General features: G+C 39.3%; 1 protein-coding gene across 2 annotated transcripts in view, besides 1 other annotated feature; it reads left to right on the forward strand.

The window, feature by feature from the left end:
- The window catches only part of BASP1 (brain abundant membrane attached signal protein 1), a 60012-nt gene that overhangs the window by 34954 nt on the left and 4392 nt on the right, over positions 1-20666 (forward strand). The gene's annotated exons all lie outside the window — the stretch shown is intronic.
- Positions 15383-15512: a silencer, noted in NCBI's record as "silent region_15951". NCBI's record gives its function as "represses an Ori minimal core promoter by ATAC-STARR-seq in GM12878 lymphoblastoid cells {active_cell/tissue: GM12878}" and the evidence as "EXISTENCE:reporter gene assay evidence [ECO:0000049][PMID:35858748]".

Genomic DNA, 20666 nt, shown 5'->3' on the forward strand with positions numbered 1-20666 from the left:
ATCTCTTGGGAGGGAGCAGAGGAGAAAGAAGGTTCGGGTAGGTGAGAAAGGTAGTGATGAGCTCACTTGGGGAAATGTTGAGTTTGAAGGACATCCTGTTGGGTCAGTTGTAGACCACTATGTGCATGAGTCTGAAGCTCAAGAAATAATCTAGTGGGCGCTAGAGTGTAGACAAAGAATCCTCAGTATCCCAGAGGGCTTTCAAAACCCTTCAACTGGATGGGTCTCCCAGCAAGTGCACCAAGACTGAATTGGTGAGCGCCAAGGATGACAGCCCCTTGAACCTTTGGAGGAAGTCATGGACAGAGGGCAGAGGAGAGGAGCTTAGGTTGGGACTTGGAGATGAGAAAGCTAGGTCTAGGGAGAATTAAAGGGAAGCTGTGACTGGGGAGTAAGCTCATGATAAGAAACAGCTGTGTTTTCTTTAGCTTCATTTTTGCCATTCGGCTATTATTTTTTGGTATTATGGAAACATCGCAAACATGAACATTCTAACTTTAGAGGTGGGCAGGCAGGAGATAATCAGAAGGGCGCCACAAGACCATGTAATCTGCTCAAGAGGGAGCATTTAAGTCTTTATTGTCTTATTTAATTTTTATAAATCCCCTCTCATGTAAAGGTATTATTATCCCTATTTTGTACTTGTGTAAAAACAGGCTCAGAGGTTAGGTTACTTGCTGTGTGCCATGCAGCAGAAAGGGATGGAACTCTTGCTTGACACCCAAGCACGTTTTTTGGAGATGTTCTCTGTGGATGTTGTGCCTTGGCACCACACCTCCTGGGGAGTTTAACCTGTGTGTCCAGAGTTTTTGACCTGGTACGTGCTGTGTAGCAACCTGTCTCTTTGCTCTCAGGCAGAATACATAGAAGAAGGAATTAGAGTTAAGAAACAAAAAGACTATCTTGTTTCCCAATCTTAAAAAGTTCCCATGTGACATTGTTTTTCACTGATAATATTGTTGCAAACCAAAAAGTTCCTGATTAATCTTTGCAATATCCTTTAGACCTGAATCACACTCTCATCTGATCATAGGAACTGAGTCACTAGTGAAGTACCTTCATCTAAGACTCTGGGCAGGGGTCAGTCAAGTTTTTCTTAAAGGGCCAGATAATAATAAATACTTTAGACTTTCCCAGCCATGCAGTTTCTGTTGCAGCTCCTCAACTCTGCTCTTGAGTGTGAAAGCACTTGCTGATAATAGGTCAATGAATGGCCATGGCTGTGTTCCAATAAAACTTCAGGTAGCCCAGTATACTCACCTCTCCTCTAGAAGAAAAGACGAATTCTAGAATTTCTAGCTCATAATCTGGCAAGTAAAATCATCTGACAAAATCATAAAATAATCAATTGGTTTTTTTTTCATTATTTTCAAAGTTCAAAATATTTAGTTACTTTAAAAAGGACTTATCTCTGTAATGATTATTTATTTGTTTATTTGTATTTACTTTTTTAAGACAGGGTCTCACTCTGTCACTCAGGCTGGAGTGCAGTGGCGTGATAATGGCTCACTACAGCCTCACCCTACTGGGCTCAAGTAATTCTCCCACCTTAGCCTTCCCAGTAGCTGGGACTACAGGCGTACGCCACCATGCCCAGCTAATTCTTTGTATTTTTTGCAGAGATGGGGGTCTCACTATGTTTCCCAGGCTGGTCTGGAACCCCTGGACTGAAGTGATCCTCCTACCTTGGCCTCCCAAAGTGCTGGGATTACAGGCATGAGCTACCATGTCTGGCTTATAATGATCTTTTACAAGTGTAATGATGGTTTTAGGAGAACAGATGCACAGTATGACATTAGATTCCCCACTTTCTTCTCTATTTTGTTTCTTTCTGTGTAGTCTTGCTGGAATTCTGATTAATCATGGTCCTTCCCAATCTCTCAGAATGACCCATATCTTTCAGAACTATTGTCTTAATCATGAAGACCCTCAATTACCAAATTGAGAAGTTTATGTTGCTTTGACCACCATCTGTGTGCATCCCGATACCTGGGGTTACAGACTGGAATCTGTGATCAAGGGAGAGCGTGGATACTTGCTTTATTAACAAATTTACGTGTGTTTTACTCACCAGTGATGAGAAGACCACCGACACATTCAGGAGGCTTTATGGAACAGAGAAATCCTTCAACATTAATTACTGTATCTAGTGTTTTTTTTTGTTTTATGCAAAAGATGTACGTAGCTATTTTGGAAAAGCATTATAAGTAGAACTTGCATGTTGATAGCTTTAGGATGTGTTCAGATTACAAATCTCCATTTGTACTATACTTGAGTTTTTGGTAATTTGAACTAGACTAGATCTTTAAGGGAAAAAATATATATATATTTTTTCTCAGAGAACAAACCAGGAAAACTTTAGCATCTTGAAGGTAAATTAGTGTTGATTATGACAAGTGAGAATAATTAATTTGCAAATAGTCATAAGCAGATTATCTTTTTAGCAGTTAGTTCTCATTTATTTGTAATTGAAAAAACAAATATCTGCTAACATAATTGTAATTCATCTTTTGTGTTCATTTTTAAAGTGCCTGTTCCTTTCCAGACAAGCTGCACTCATGCATGGCAGTGTTACAAGGGTGGGCTTGTAGACTGAGTTTGGGAAGTGCTATGAATCTACTAGGATCACCTATCACAATCAAGATTCCATAATTCCAAGTAAAGGAAGATGCTTTTGCCTGACTTAGATGATGGTTCGGATTCTAGTGTAGTTTTTTTTGGAAATGCAGTTCTGTCACTTTCACAGCTATGTTACCAATGAAATAAGTCTGTGTGAATAAGTAAAGGGAGGTAAGTTGATAAAAGCATTCAGTTTGCAACGGATCTGCAGTGCATCATGGTGCTCAATACAGTTTTTGAATAATCACATTTATTTATCAGATTTTAATTGGAGAAGATTTGCAGATCCCACCTTTGAATCATTACAAAGTATGAATCCTGTCATCTAGAATACTGAAATTTAGTATGTACCATGCTTAGGACTGATCCGAAGACATTTTAGGTTTGAATAAGAAAAAAGAGGCAAAGAGGCCCAATATAAAAACAGAGAGAATAAATCTTAAAGCACCATCTATGTTGGATATCCTTATTGCAAGAGATCCCACATTGGACAGACGATTTCAGTTGACACCAAAGGAAGTAAGAATTTTCTGAGACTGACGGGTATCTTGGTAAATGTTCCCTCTTTGCAGGTGGTCGTAGATAATTTCAATTCACCCTCTGCTTTCTTCGAACTGACGAAGGTGTAGCTTTGATATTTTCCCCTCTTCATGTTACATGATCATTTATTCTAACTGGCAACATTTTATTTATTTATTTATTTGGACCCATTGTTCCAAACATGTAAAAGATTTGGACCTGCAAATCTTTCTATGTTAGTATTTATTGTATTAGTGTTTGAGATACCTGGAATTTTGGAGATGAAGTGACTCAATCCATTTATTTTCTAGAAGAAATCTTAGAGATGTGAGGGACAGGTGTAGATTCACAAGAGCTAGGACATGCTGTTCTAACAAAAATCCTCCTTCCCTTTGGTTCAATTTTTAATCTATTTTAGGTCCTTCCATTTCACATTAATGACATAGTAATCTACCCACTTAAAACTATAATAAGTTCACTAGGTTTTTTTTTCCCATTAAAACAGACTCATGAGTCATAGTTTACTATTACTTTCCAAGCTTTTATTCTGTATTTTCCTTAACATCTGAGAATCATGTGGAATCTGTGGTACCTGTGCTAATCTGAAGCCACTATGTATTTTGAAACCTCTTGCCCCACGTTGGATGCCTGGTGTCGATCAGGAAGTGTTGCAACGTGTAACACATCACTCACCACTCTTGACGGTGTTACAGGGTAGGAAGTTGTAGAGATGCAAGGCTGACTGTGGACGTAAATAATAGAACATTCAGAATCATCACTGAGGCAGAGTTTTGCCAGCTTGTATAAATCAGGTAAATTTGCTCATGTTAAATGCATCTCTTTCACTTCCACCTTCTGTTTCAAGTTGACAATGTTTGCATTTGACTCCTATTAAGACACTATGCCTTTCCTCAAACATATCTGTTGCAATTTCATGATTTCTTAAGACTAATGCTGTCACCAGTATATTTCATTTAGCAACGTCCTGCACACCAGAGTAGGTTTCTAGATAGGGAACTCAAGATACTCACATGAAGGAGGCATGGGCTGAGTGTGTAGGGTAGAAACTTGGTCTTTGAATCAGAAGGAATTTGCACCCAGCTGAGGGAATCTTGAGGTGTCCTCTTGTTGACATCTGAGGTTTCACATGCTCTTCATTTGTCTGGTATCTGCATGACTTGCCTGCACCCCACTTTTTTGCAGCTTCCACCTTGGCCCATATCTCAGAGCACAAACAATTTGAAGGACATTCCAAGGTGAATCCAGAAAACTACATTAGGAAAGATTTAGGAGCCTGCCTAGTTCTTTTCTACTCTAACTCTTGTGGAATAGATTGATTTTTCTGTTGTAGTTTATTTGTTAAAATTGTTTAAGGCCACACTGTCAGAATTTAGCTCACAGGCTAGCATCGGCTCTGCTACCTTTGACCCTTTTAAGAGTCATAGTTTTCCTATGATGTAGAATGGAAAGATCTATGGGCAGTCAGGGTCGACCTTTGGGTGCCCTGCTTCTAGTGCAGTGCCTGGATGTTTGTGTCATTTCTCAAATAAATAAGTGAATTTGAGTGCTCAATAGAATCTAGTTGTGTGTATACATTATTACTGCACGTTTGTGCAAAAACTAAAAATTATAGACATAAAGGATACAATTCTAGTCATTTATATTACAAATGAAATAACCAACCCTGGGAGGTTAACAGTGGCTTGTTTAATGTCAGCAGCTAGTTTAGTGGCTGTAACGAGACTGAATCCCAAGTTGAACAGAAATCGTTTAAAAATTCAAGTTTTAAAAATCAAGTACAATGAATGATATTGGCTGCTTTTCTAAGGAGAGTGATTCTCTAAGCCTATAGGAAAAAAATACTGGTGGCTGACTTGTGGCCTTAATTGCATGCTAAGGTTGAGGAAGGATCTCCAGTAATTCTTTGCTTTACTTTGTGTTTGAATATAGGATTTTATAGCTGTGGGTGGAAAAAAAAATATTTCTAGGGAAAAGGTTTCCTGATAATTTAACTGAACCCCAAACAAGTGAACTGGGTGAAACAGAATATGGCACATGGTCCTTTATCACAACCTTTCTACCTAACCTAAAGCCAGTAAGATGGAAATAGTTTGGAAAAGACACTATCTGCTGAGGTTGCTTTAAATAGAGTCTCTCCTGGGACTTAGAACACATTTTGAGGCTCATTCTCCCTTTTGATAGTTTCTTGGAGACATTTTTCTGTATATACTGGATGCAGGCATTTGTATTCCTGGATGGCATTCATCTTTTACCAGTGTGAGGAGGCTGTTTTTATCATTGTGAGATTTATTAACATTTACTTGCTCTTAGAATCTACAGATTATATAACAGATATTGCAGGCTATAACCTAGAATTTAAATATTAAAAAGAGTGATTAAAAAACAAAACAAAAAGAGTGATTCTTTTTGTTATAATTGAATCAATTCCTATTGTTTACCTGTGTTGAATACAGTAATTGGTCCCACCGATCTTTTACTTAATCTTGAAATTCAGAGTTATTCTCTATTCTACATGAATGGAGCTGGGAAATGGTTTTAGGTAAATGAAGGTAAAATGTACTGAATACCTACTGTGTGTAGTGAGCTGAACTATATCCTTTACTGCAAATATTCCATTTAATGCTAACAACCACCTCCCCTTCTATTTTCTTCTGTAGGCAAAGGTTGAGTTCACTGAGGCTGACTCCCTGCCCCAGGTCACATAGCTGAACGTGGTCTCTCATCCCCTTGCCTATGTGCTTTTTTTCACAGAGTATATTGGATTGAGATCCAAAACTTATTGGCAAGCCATCAAAGTTCCGCTTGAACTAAAAGAGGAAAACCTGTTTTCTGAAATGTGAACTTTAATTACATAAAATGGAGGCTTCTGAAAACAGTATTGTCTCACAGGGCAGGCTATAAACCTTGAACAATGGAAGCTTCATGTTGTGTAAGAAAGGAGCTTACAGAGCCAAACAGCACCGTTCCTGTGTTTCCCCTGCCAGTGACAGGAGCATCTGGGGTAGCAAGGGGACTGCCCAGGGCCTGGTGTTATCATCAGGGGTTCTTGAAATTGCTCACACTGCTCTTGCTTTTCCATACAGGCTGCTTATATCTTGCCTCCTCTGGCTAAACTGTGGTACTAACAAGACGGCAGTTGGCTGCTGGGGAAATTCTGATAGGGAGAGTAGGTCTGGGTCATTCTAATTTATTTGTGGCTCTGGTAGCAAAGAGAACTCAAAGGCAGTATATCTCTATAGCTGATGAGATTTCACTGGGGCCGACACCACCTGTTCTGTGCACACTCACTTCTCGGTTAGACCTGGCTAGGTTTTCTGCTGTGCTTGTTTTTAGCTTTGTAACCAGCAGTAATCACATTGGTCTTTGGGATTTTCATGTTTCAGGTTTTACAGATGATGCAAAAGCATTAGTTTTCAAAGTCACTGCAAATGCTATGTATATGTATTTCTCAACATGCAGCCCCTGCACTACTTGTTTTGGTGTTACCTGGTCAACTTGGTAGAAAATAGATTCTTGGGACTCATGCTGAGCCCACTAATTAATTATCTTGGGAAAGAGATAACACTCCCCCCACCTATATTTTTAACAAGCTTCTCAGATGATTCCTGTTTACATAAATTTCACTCCCAATATTAGACACGTTATACAGAAACATTGGCAAATAAGAGGTTGAAGTGACTTTGTTCTGAGTCACATCATGAGTAAGGGGCAGTTGGTATTGAATTCTAGTTTGTGTTTCATCCCCAAGTCTGGGGATGAAATGCATCGTCTCTGGAATTCCATGGCTGGGGACAAATACCCTCTGTTATGTTTTTAAATGTCACAGCCCTCTGGGATTCACACCTTGGGTGTTGCCTTGTGGCTCAGTGCCTGGTTTTTTAGGTAGCTAAAGGGCTCAAATTTGAAGAAGGCAAAAGTGTGGAGCAGAAAGTGAGCATGGACAATTTGGGGTGAAGCATTTGCTTGAGAAATCTGGGGAGATACATTTGAATTTATAAGGAGGGACCAGATGACAAATGTCATTGAAAGTCACACTATGCTGTTTGAACTCAACATGGCAGTAGAATCTGGAAATGGCACACTGCATATGTATTAGTCCATTTTCATGCTGCTGATAAAGATAAACCCGAGACTGGGCAATTTACAAAAGAAAGAGGTTTATTGGACTTATAGTTCCACATGGCTAGGGAGGCCTCACAATCATGGGGGAAGGTGAAAGGCAAGGATGAGCAAGTCATGTCTTACATGGATGGTGGCAGGCAAAAAGAGAACTTGTGCAGGGAAACTCCTGTTTTTAAAACCATCAACTCTCGTGAGACTCATTCACCACCACAAAAACAGTGCAGGAAAGACCTGCCCCCATAATTTAATCACCTCCCACGGGGTTCCTCCCAGTACACACGGGAATTGTGGGAGTTACAATTCAAGATGAGATTTGGGTGGGGACACAGCCAAACCATATCAGCATAGTATTCATCTTTGGATTGAATACATTCTTTTATTAATTTGGCAAACATTTACCAAACCCCTGTTAGTGCTGAACATGACAAAGGAAAAAGCAAATTCTTTGTTTAGTATGTCAAGGACATACATAAAGGATTTTAGATGGTTTTCACTGAAAATCATTAAAATATGAAATAGCATTAGGACTGAAAATACTACATTTGCTGTTGGTGCCAAAAAAAATTGATACATGAAAATGTCAATATGTAAGAATTTTAGGTGGTCGTGAAAAGTGTGAACCAGCCCTTTATTTTTGGAGACAGGAACTACTGGAAATAAATTGCAGTTATTTCTGGAGTAGGCAGGCTTCCCCTCTTCTCCCTAATCACCAGCCTGTCTTTGTCAGGTGGCCACATTGATCGAGCCTGTCATGGCTCCAAGCCCATCATGGTCTGTCTAGTCCATTAAGAAGCAGCAGAAATATCTCAGCTGCTCTAAGTGTTTTCCTTGTGCCTTATTTTGAGCTCTGTTTGGAGAATTCTAAATTAGTTGTGGTGATATGATCTATTAGTTTCCTGGTCTATGGAAGAGAGAAATGGTACAGAAATGATCTCTGCAGTTTGCATTTCCTGAGCGGGTTGTGGTTCACTTACTCCCTTTATTGACCAAAAGAGCAGGTGATTCATGTAAAATCATATGTTAGGCTGCAATAACTGGGGCTTTTGAAAGGACCACCCGTTAAGTGCAAATAAATAACAATGTGAACACACAGCAGACTCTAAAAAGCATATTAGACTATTGACGAGAATGAATAATGCATGTTTCCTGATAGTGTTTGCTACATGTGGCAGGATGTATTAAAAAAGAAGAAAAAACCTTCTGCATTAGTGTCTATACAGTCAACCTTTACATTCAAGGAGAAGCTTAACTATTATCTGCCACCTTTATAGAAGCATTATCAAGTCAGGGTTTTATGGTTAAATCTTGTAGAATCAATTGGGAGATTCACCTTTAAAAATTGGTCTCTACAATATGCACATAGTAACAAAAGAAAAAAAAATCTTGACAATATCATTGTAGTGATTTCTGCATTCTGGTCTTTAATTATGTGCTGAGTCCCGGTGGCAGAGAGTTTGTGATCATGGATGGCGCCTGGAACTTGACCGCATTTCATTTAATGCAACGGAAATTTCAGTTACAATTTAGTTTATTGATTTTTTTCTACTGCTGGTGAAAGGTAAGTTACATAACCCAACTTCTAGTCAGGGACTCTTCCATCTTACAGTTCATAATTTGCAAATTAGATGTTCCCGTCTGTAGTGAGTCTGTGATGTTTATCTAGTACCCATTGTGCACGAACAACCACAAAGCAAAATCTTTGTTCTGAAGCCTCAGATTGATGTTGAATAAATATTGAAGAAACGCCCTAGGTCAAGATTCAAGTGAAGTCAGGCAAGCCTATTTTACTGCTAAAACTTTGAACGCAATCCAACAATATAAAAGGGTTAAGCAGGCCTGGCCTGGTGGTGGCTAACACCTGTAATCCCAGCACTTTGGGAGACCAGGGTGGGAGGATTGATTGCTTGAGCTCAGGAGTTAAAGACTAGCCTGGGAAATATAGTGAGACTCCCATCTCTAAAAATTTTTTAAAAATCTATTTTATAAATAAAATGTAAAAGGCTTAGGCAATGATGATTTAGATAAATGACCAAAGATGGATGGTTTATCTAAAGACCAAGACCAGATTGCACAGTAAGGACACAATAAGAAGTTCTTAAGAATTAAGGTTCGTTTTTTTACATTTATGTAGGGAATACACATGTGGATGCTGACTGTGCATTTCCTTATCTCAGAAGCTCCTAAAACCATTTATAATGTAGCAAGCCTGTTTGCTTTACTTTTGCATACCGGTTGTTTCACACAATAAGACCTCTCCAGGTTTAGTGGTCACTGTGGCAGTTCTTCAGCATTTTAGTTGTTGAAATGTCTGTCCCTTTCCCAGTACTTAAGAAATCCTAAGTGTTGTAATACGAGAGTACTATGAAGGTAAATGACTGCAGAATGAAATACTGTAAGGTAAAGGACTATTTCAAAGAGACATGATCTAACGTTTACTATGTGGAGATCTTGTGGAGCCATTACTCTGGAATAATTCAGATTTAACCATATTCATGTAAAAGAGAGCATGTTGAGTTGGAATAACCATCAGATTTGGAATTTATCTCATTGGCTTCTCTCCCCCCCACCGTCTGCATAACAAAGTGTTCCACTTCAGCAAACATCTGGACTTAACTTTCTGAATCTCCCAGAACTTTGCGCTGTCAAGATTCCTCCCTCAACTTTCCACTTTAGTTTTGATTTTTATCCTTTGTCTCATCCTATCTTCCCATAGATATTTTCAGTTCTTGCAAATCCTTGTAAACAAATAAAAGTCTTGCCAAAATTGCACGTTTCTGCCGTTACCAACACTCTCTGGTATTGACCATTGTGGCTTTCTCTTCTGGCGCCTCATGTGCTCTGTGAGCCCTTTCAAAGAGGCAGGTGTCTTCACTCCTTTATCGAAGTGACTCTAGGGTCCGTTGTTGACAGCCCATCACCGGATCAATTTGCGCCATCTCTTCTTATCTTTTGTAACCTTTTTGTAGCAGCATATGCCTCCTCCAAGCTGCTTTGTAAAATTTTCTCTTTTGATTTTTTGAGACATCATCTTTTCCTTTCTAACTCCTACAAGAGCTGTTTTTCTGCTTTCTGTCATCTAAGTAATTTTCCCTATTAGGCAACCTTTATAGATTTAGAGTCCATCTTTTCTCACTCCAAGTATCTGAGAGTCCTCTCCTTCCTCTTAAATATCAATAGGGTTTTCTAATAATCTCAACTGGACATTTCCTCTTTGTTCCCTTTGACATAAACACTTTGCATTTACCCATCCTCATCTGTAGAAAGCTTATTTGTTCTTCAGGGCAACTTATCATGATGGCTAAGAAACCTTAACGTTAACCTGGTTGAGTGAGCCAGAGTGCCTGCATTCACCTCACACCTCCACAAATAACTGGTTGGTTGATCTTGGGCAAGTTATTTATCTCCTATGTGTCTTTGTTTCCTCATGCTAAAGTGGGGATAGTAATAATTCCTCCCTCGTAGAACTGATGAGATAGCTAATGAGTTGATATGTGTAAAGATAAGTATCAAAACAGTCTTATGCTGAGTGTATATGAATAAGTATTTTTTATATTTCTACTGTCTCAGACTCTACCTTCTCTATAAATCTTTCTGATCCTGATCTCAACTAATCGTCATCTCTTCTGGTGAAACTATTGCTTTTCCTTCTCTTGATAACGTTTGACTTACTCTCATTTATATTTTAATTGTCTTCATATGTCTTCTCCCTCTTGCTAGACTAGGCTCTTCACTCACTTATGTTCCCTGTCACGTCTTACACCTAAAGATATTTCCTCACTAAGATCAAATCTTCTTTTTTTTTTTTTTGAGAAGGAGTCTTGCTCTGGCGCCCAGGCTGGAGTGCAGTGGCACGATCTCGGCTCACTGCAAGCTCCGCCTCCCTGGTTCATGCCATTCTCCTGCCTCAGCCTCCCGAGTAACTGAGACTACAGGCACCCGCCACCACGCCCGGCTAATTTTTTATATTTTTTAGTAGAGATGGGGTTTCACCGTATTAGCCAGGATGGTCTCGATCTCCTGACCTCATGATCCGCCCGCCTTGGCCTCTCAAAGTGCTGGGATTACAGGCGTGAGCCACTGCACCCAGCCCTAATCAAATCTATTTTTCTAGACTAATTCTGAACATCAGAAGTTCTTGAGATCACTCTGGATGTTGACTTTTACAAATTATATTGTGACAGAGTCTCATTGTGTATCTTTATGGGGTACAAAGTAGTATTACATTTTTTTTTTAACATTTCTTTTCTTTCCTTTTCTAATAGAGACAGGGTCTCACTATTTTGCCCAGGCTGGTCTCAAACTCCTGGGCTCAAGTGATCCTCTTGCTTCGGCCTCCCAAAGTCCTGGGATTACAGGCATGAGCCACTGCACCCCAGCTGGTATTACAATTTTTGAATAAAATGTGGTAAGATAAAATTAAGGTAATGAACATTGCTCACCTCAGATATTTATGCATTTTGGATTTTTGATGAGAGATCCCCAAAGACCCTGTGCCAGTGCATCTGTAGGACTAGACTGGGCTTCATGAAGAATAATGGAGGCGTTTCTTGTGATTAATCTTCTTTTGTATTAGGGACTTTCTGACTTTGTAGATCCAACTCATCTGGATCACCTCTTTGGGAAAATTTGGTTGTAGAAATGTGAGTGTGTGCTAATCTGTGTATGTGTACTTTGTTCCCTCAAGTTTGTTGCATATCTTTATCATACTTTTTTACAGTGAGGAACATTTTTATTGTGACAAGGTAATAAATTGTCTCGAATGTTTTCTCTAAATTTTTACTCATGATATTTCAAAGGTTTACCTAGAAACTTAGACATGGGTTGGCACCTCTTAGGACAGTTTCCTCTCCCCAGAGGACATCTGCATCCTCTAAATGATGGGGATGTTATTAGAATTGCTAAATATGAGCCTTGGCTGAATCAGACACCGACAACAATAATTTCAACAATGGAAATTGCCACCAGGCACTGAAGACTTGACAAGTCACTGCGACAGAGCACATACTGGTTGGAATACTAAAAATACACATGGGCTGCATTACCTTTATTTCATTTTCCTCTTTTAGAATAAAAATTTTGACCTTTAAAAGAAAAGGGCCAGTCACTTGTTGAAAATAGAAATTGCTGGACATAAATATTTTAGATTTCTTTCTTCTGACAGTATTGAAAATACTTTGTATGTGTTGTGCTTTTTTATTGTTTGTAAATTCTTTTCTTTATATAAAAAAGAATTTTTTCCCTCTTATTCCAACATTTGCTTCAGGTAGGTTTGACCAATATCTTGGATTCTTTCCACTTGTGTAATTATAAACCCAACTTGTTGGTGATGGATTTGCTTGTAGATGCAACTCAGTTGTAACTTTGTGTTACTTAAAAAAAATTGTTAGTGGATTGGCTGGTGTATAATTCTTGTTAACCTTTGCAGCTCTGAATTAGTAGATGATAGTTGCTTGTCCAAGGGTACACAGTTAATGTGCTGCAGCCACACATTGAACTTTGTCTTGAAACTTTGATTCATTCCCTGCATCTTTGTAAGCAGATATATTTTTTTCTGATTATAAGATGGAAACAGAATGAAAAGGAGATGACTTCTTGTCTTGATTGCAATGATGAAGCTGCAATCAAACCAGAAATAACACTCCAGTCTCTGACACACATTGTTGCATATTTATGTTGGGTTTTGCTATAGACTTGGAGCCATCTTCTCCATTGTCATCTGTCTGATCTCATCCTTAATAACTTTATTCTGCTGGTTCTAGATGAAATGGTTAATAAATCCAAATTTGCATTTTCAAAGTAGAAACTTTATAGTGGATAGGGCCTTTGTATGATTCAAACTGCCCTATATAGGAAGTGCTTAGATATTATAATAATGCAGGGAAAGAAGATATAAATAGGAATGGCATGTAAAGTAGTGAACATAGTAACTTTCAAATCATATGGAGAAATTTGATATCATTTTCTTATTTTATATGGCAGTTAATGTATGCCAGTGATTCTTATTACATTACAGAACCATGGTATTGTTAATTGACAGAGCAACGTAAATGTAAAAATGTGTTAATGAAAAATCTAATTGGAGATATCATGGAGCACATGTGGTAATTATGGGAAGGACCCAGTGCATGTAACCCCCTTGGCTTGTGGGTGGATAACTCCTGGAAATTGTGCATTGTGCAAGGTTGCATTTTCTGAAGAAGGGCAATGGTATATTGGGGGGCTTGCCATTTTTCATCCAAAAACCATATCATGCGAAGACTTGAATAACATTAAATAATGGATGTAACCAACAAAGTGCTACTGAAATGAAGGTTCAACAGTCCACAAATGGTGAGCCTCTGCATATCAAACCTTCTAAAATTAAGTGTATAGGCTGAGATAAACATTAGCATTTCATTACCCATAATTTTGCTTGCCGCCAAAAATGCAGAAGGGCTCTTGAGAGCTATTTGGATGACCCTGGTCTCTGGAGGGCATCTTTTAGAAACCTGATGGCATGTCATCACTTAGACCTGCCACAAAGCACTGAAATCCTCTTAATGGTGGTAATGATAACACTATTGTTTTTCCTACTTGATACTCCTTTTGAGCCAACATTTCTCCCTTTCTTGCTCTCCTATATCCAAACAACCTGTTTAGTAAGTGTTTTATTTAAAGGACTAAAGAAAGGAAGTAATAAATGATAGTTCTCAGAAACCTCACATTTCATTGCAAAGCTATTAGAACAACTTCCAGCTCAAATGTTAATTAGATACCGTTCTGATATATAGGGTTGTGTCTTTAAATACTGCAGGAGTCTTGACCCAAACCCAAAGAATGCATAGGCAGCAGGGCTGACCCATGCGTTTTCACTTGGTACCAGCAAAGGGATTTGAGAACCCTTAGTCACTGCAAGGGGCAGAAGTGTCTTCTATTAAGGACATAATAAGTCCTGCTGAAGAACAGGTCAGCTCAGTAACTCCAGTCGCCACAGCAGTTGTTGGTCAAATTGGGTTCCTCTGGTAGCACCACAGAGCAAGGGACACTAACCCGTTGGGCTTCCCGATTCATTGCTGTCACTTTGGGGCAGAATGGAGGTATGATTTAAATCCTACAGTGCGGGATATTTTCACCCTGGTGTGTCTCTGACAGTGTCCTGCTATAGAAGTTTAAGGAACAGTATATGTGGCTTCAATTTCCATAAGTTAAAAATGCAGGAAAAAGATTATGTCTGGAGGAGTAGATTTTCAGAAAAAGCGGTTTTAAGGATGATGAAAAGAGAATTTATTCAAAATGAGAGGCATTTTTTCTGTTCCTTCGCCACCTCTCCCTCCCTTGCTTGCTCTGTTCTGTCTCCCTCCCTCCTTATTTCATTCTCACTCTTGCTCTTGTTCATCTAAGAGTAATGAATCTTTGCCTTATTGTGTTTGAATTCACCATGGCCTCCTTGTTGATATTCCTAAAGTTGGCATTAAAAGCTATATCTGGGGTGGGGCATGGTGGCTCACGCCTGTAATCCCAGCACTTTAGGTGTCTGAGGCAAGCGAATCACCTGAGGTCAGGAGTTTGAGACTAGCTTGGCCAACATGGTGAAACCCCGTCTCTACTAAAATACTAAAAATACAAAAATTAGCCAGGTGTGGTGGTGCACAGGTAATCCCAGCTACTCAGGAGGCTGAGGCACGAGAATCACTTGAACCGAGAGGCGCAAGTTGCAGTGAGCCGAGATCGCGCCACTGCGCTCCAGCCTGAGCGACAGAGCAGCAAGATCCTGTCTCAAAAAAAAAAAAAAAAAAAAAAAAATCTGACCTGGAACTCTTTCTCAATGTAGGAACTCCAAACATAATCTTTCAAAATGTTGCCTGTGGATAGCTCTGTAAAAATGGTGATACACCCTGGTTTCGTTTTGTTAAGTGGTTGTATTGCGCTGGAAATTTGGGGCTGAGAACTTTTCCCACTTTATTTTTCTCAACGTTTCTACATAACACTAAACTGAATATCACATTAGTTTTCGAGAATTGTGATTAGCCCTTGTGAGATTGATTTAAACTATATTTGAAAGGATAATTTAAAGTATCTGTAGGCTGATACTACTTAGCATCGCATAAAAGGAAAAGATGGTTTGATTGTTTTTAGGAAGCACGCTTGCTCAAAGAGATTGGGTCTTGCAAGGCAGGACCACCAGTGATTGGTAGATGACCCATCAAAAGTAGGTAAAGGGGAAACAACCGAGTGTCTTCCACAGCCAGGGCACTGTGAGCTAGTTCTGCGTGAGTGAAGCTGATGAAACCTGACTTTTCTGACAGTTATGACGCTATTTGAGATGTCTTCAGTGAGCCATTCCATCCTGACTCATTCCTTACAGAGTTTACACATTATTCTGAGAAGATTTTCTAAATATAATTGAAAATGTTAAAAAACATTCTGTGCTTTAATAAATATTTGGATGTCATTTTACAATTTTTGTTTGTATTTTTTTTTGCTTTTTTTTTTTGAGACGAAGTCTTGCTCTGTCACCAGGCCCCAGGCTGGAGTGCGGTGGCACGATCTCATCCCGCTGCAACCTCCGCCTCCCGGGTTCAAGCGATTTTCCTGCTTCAGCCTCCCAAATAGCTGGGACTATAGACGCACGCCACTGCACCTGGCTAATTTTTGTATTTTTAGTAGAGACGAGGTTTCACCATGTTGGCCACGCTTGTCTTGAACTCTCAACCTTGTGATCCTCCTGCCTCAGCTTCCCAAAGTGCTGGGATTACAGGCGTGAGCCACCGCTCCCAGCCCTTTTTTTTTTTTTTTTTTTTTTTTGCTTTTTAAAATTTTTTTTATTTCTAATTTTCAGCAAGCTTCACGTTGAAATGACGTATGAAGACATCCAATCATAGTAATAGCAGCTGGTTGTCAATTTAATCTTCAGGGTGTAAGATGATATATTTTTATGACAGTGATTAGTAGATGTATTGAACTCTGTTGATAATACCACTTGTTTCTTTATCTTGCATTGCATTTTATTTAGTGCCAGAAGCATTCATAAAATTATTTTTCCCCCTAGAAAGAGAATACACTTTAAGTATCGTTGTTTTACTGATTAGGAAATTTGAGATCCAGAGTGGGAGGTAACCACTGAGTCTCATAGCACTTTGTTGACAGTGGAGACCAACCCCTAGCACACCTATCGTTTTTAGCAAACTTCATACTGAGTGCTAGGTGGCTTGTTTTTGACACAAGTCAAACAAATAAAATATTTCATAATTTATTTTTTTCTTATACGGCATTTTGCTATCTACTCTTCCACCTTTATTTTCTCAAACTGAAAGACTGAATTTTAATACAGTAGGCTGTGCTAATGGAGTGGTGTAAGGTAAGAAAAAATGTAAGTGCGTATTAGGAAAGTTCTGGATGAGTTGGTCATGTCAGCAGCCAAATCATGGTTGTTTAGTGAAATTATTTGCTATTAAGTGTGTACAGAGGGGATCCTATTATAGTTTGTAAGAATTGTGGTTTTTTAGTGAAATTCTTAGCTATTAAAATAGCGTGTACAGAGGGGATCTGGACCCAGTGTGTCCTGTGGATTCTGTGTACAAAATAAACACAGCAGATGATCTGAAGGGATAAGGAATATCTTCTGTGTTCCCTGACAGGCTTCCTGGAGAAAAAGGAACAAGCAATTGGAAAACTCGGTAGAGGAGATTGTCTCTATTACAGAGTGTCTTCATTATAACATCAGATTTCAAATTATTTCTCACCTTTACTCTCCCAAAGAAATTTTCATATTAAATTTAAGCTCTCAATAGTAAGAAGGAGTTTACTGGTTTTTCTTTTTGGGGGGTTTGCTATTATAGCAATGCATAGGACCACATATTTTTCCTATAAATAGAAATTTCTGTAAAATAAGAAATACTTGTTAGCTCTAAGACTCAACAGAATTGTTTTAATTTGCTTTGGAGGAAGAATTAAAACCTATTTTTTAGGCCTATGTTCATTCTTTATTTTTATTTATTGATTTTTTAACCAGATCCTCTGAAGACACTAAAGTGTAGTTGTCTCTGAGGACAAAAACAAACGAACAAACAACAACAAAAAAACTTCACCTTACCTTGCTGACCTAGCTATGAAGTTGCTCTTTTATGGCCTTCCTAGGCATGAAGAAGTTAGAGAAACTTGTCTTTAAAAGTTTCATGAACGTTCATAAATGTACACGTTTATTTATTAGGGAACATGATTTGCTGCCAATAAACGAAAGAAAGATTTGTGTCAGGACTGAGTGTGTAGTCTAAGCTAACATCAGTTGTAGGAAGTGAGACTCAGAAGGTGATGGGTATGTATTCCACGGATGCAAACACTTTTTGAGTTTCCTGGCAGGTGTAGGCAAAAAAGGACCAGGCTGGTGTGATGAATAATCACTTCCAACCCTCCCTCTGACCTTTTCAGGCCTCCCTCTGATTTGCCTGCTTTCCAGCCCAGGTTGCTCTGATCAACTCACAGTGCTCGAATGGCACACTCTCTTCTCTCTTCACCGAAAAGCAGAACTTTATCACATTTCTTCCAGAATAGCTGTTTCTAGCCAGGTGGGATTAATTGGATGGAGGCTTGGTTTTATAAGGTGGAAGGGAATAAAACTAGTCACAAGATAGTTGTGGGGGATTTTAAAGATGTAAGTTAGTATCTCTATTAAGCTATTTGACATATGATAAACAAACAGTATTCTTCTGCAGGAAGTAGCAAAACAAAATGACATTTGACAATGTTAGCTTCTCTCATTAACATGGTGTGTTTAGCTTATTAGCCAAGATAAGCTGTAGACCAGGTTTTTACCCTTTACACGTGAAATTTGAGGCATTAAATGAGTAAAAGAATTGGGATTCCTTTTCCATCTTGGTGATCAAAACACTTTTCTCTTGTTTCCTTGGACCAAGTGATGAAGAGGTGGTGAGGGGACAGCAAAAAATGCAATTACATTTCTTCTCTTTATTTTTATTTTTTGAGACAAGAGTTTTGCTCTTGTTGCCCAGGGTGGAGTGCAATTGTGCGATCTCGGCTCACCGCAACCTCCACTTCCCAGGTTCAAGCGATTCTCCTGCCTCAGCCTCCTGAGTAGCTGGGATTACAGGCATGCACCACCACATCTGGCTAATTTTGTATTTTTAGTAGAGACGGGGTTTCTCCATGTTGGTCAGGCTGGTCTTCAACTCTTGACCTCAGATGATCTGCCCGCCTCGGCCTCCCAAAGTGCTAGGATTACAGGTGTGAGCCACCACACACAGCCCCCTCTTCTCTTTCTCTGATCACTCCAATACTCGTTCTAATTGGGAGGAATGGATTTAACTAATCTTTGGTTTTTATCTCTGTGTAGAAACTGATTTCTTGGCAGAATGGACTGTTAATATATTTAAAAAGACTGAAAACCTCTTAGAATCTTAAGTAGTAAAATATTCAGAGCGAAGAAGTAGAGATTTTACCTTTACAATATGGTGACAACAGATAACTGTAAAAACTTCTTTTTCAAATAGAACCAGCAGGAGCATGCATGGAACACATATACCAAACATCTTTCTGATAACATTAAACATTTTTAAAAGATGTTAAATGTTCTTTTCATTGTGGTGCTTCAGATTCCTGATTCTAGAACTTGTGTGTGTGGAACCTGTGTGCTAACTATTCTGTTGGAATTTACCAGCAAAGAATTATCTAAGAATTTTCAAACTAAATGATGGGGGAAGGAACTAACATTTTTGCAGTCCCTGGAAATGTAAAATGTTGTACTCACATGGCCTCACATTAAATTCCCATTAAATTGACATTTAAAAAAATTTTTTTATTTTAAAGGAAACGGAAGGACGATGAGATTAAATAACTTGCCCAAGGATTCTGGGTGGGTGTGCTGTGGAGGTGGGATTTTTATACTCTGCCATGACCCAATGTGCAAAGTCTCCTTGAAATTCAATTCTTGTCCAATATTTACCAGATTAAACTCAGTGAAATTCCTCTCTCTACTACTGTTTATGGTTATTTTCTATGCCAATATTAATCGGTAAGCCTGTCATTTTCGCCCTTGTGGCATCGAGTTTTCTTTGAAGGACAGCTTTTTTGTTTGCTTTTTGTTTTTTGTTTTGCTTTGTTTTGTTTTGAGGCAGGGTCTCACTCTGCCCAGGCCATAGTGCAGTGGCTGATCTCGGCTCACTGCAACCTCTGCCTCCCAGGCTCAAGCCTCCCCAGTAGCTGGGATGATAGGTGTGCACCACCACGCCTGGCTAATTTTTGTAATTTTTGTAGAGACGGGGTTTTGCCATGTTGGCCAGGTTGATCTTGAACTCCTGACCTCAAGTGATCCACCCACCTCGGCCTCCCAAAGTGCTGGGATTACAGGTGTGAGCCACCACACCCGGTCTTTAAAGGACAGCTCCAGAATTAGCTTTTTTCTGAGATGTCATAACAGAGGTCAGTTTTAGTGTTTGGTTAATACATAAACACATAGAACTGAGGTCAGTGCCTTCAGCATTGGTCTGAATTTTGTTGCTGTGCTACAAAATTCTAGTGAATTTCCTAGTTGTGGAGAAATGCAAAGTCAGTCTCGGCCTTTTCAGTAGAGCTTTGGTTTAGTGACTTTTTTAGTTGAAGTGACTTTTCAGCATGGATTGTCTATTGCTGTATTTTTTTAACTGCTTTATTTTAATCTTAGAAGTTCCAACTTCTAACTTTCTATACCAAATGATGTCTTTCAAAATTAGAAGTAACAGAAATGAATGAAATCGGCTGGGCATGGTGGCTCACGCCTGTAATCCCAGCATTTCGGGAGGCCGAAGTGGGCAGATCACCTGAGGTCAGGAGTTCAAGACCAGCCTGGCCAACATGGTGAAACCTCATCTGTGCTAAAAATACTAAAATTAGCTGGGCATGGTGGCAGGCTCCTGTAATCTCAGCTACTCGGGAGGCTGGGCAGGAGAATTGCTTGAACCTGGGAGGCGGAGGTTGCAGTGAGCCGAGATTGTGCTGCTGCTGCACTCCAGCCTAGGTGACAGACTGAGACTGCATTTCAAGAAAAAAAAAAAAAAAAAGAAAGAAAAGAAAAAGAATGAAATCATTAAACTGTATGCTCATTGCTTTCTCTTGGTAAAAAGCTTCTCTGGCAAATAGGAAGATGAAATGTTGAGAGGCAGAGGATACTCAAAATACTGAATTTCTTCCTTATTCCCTCAACACCTGAGTTCTGAACTACCCCAGGTGGCACCATCCTTGTAACCCAGGCGCATAACATTCCTGGGCTGAGAGCTTTGCCCCATTGCCGGCTTCTCAGTGGAGTTCCTTCTATCCCCTCTGTGGTGCCTTCCTGCCTTACTGAATTTTGCTGGACTTGGCCTTTGCTCATAGTACAGCTCCACGAACTCAGCTAGTAGGATTTCCTTATGGGT

The sequence above is a fragment of the Homo sapiens genome, chromosome 5 (genome assembly GCF_000001405.40).
Source record: "Homo sapiens chromosome 5, GRCh38.p14 Primary Assembly".
Lineage (NCBI taxonomy): Eukaryota > Metazoa > Chordata > Mammalia > Primates > Hominidae > Homo > Homo sapiens.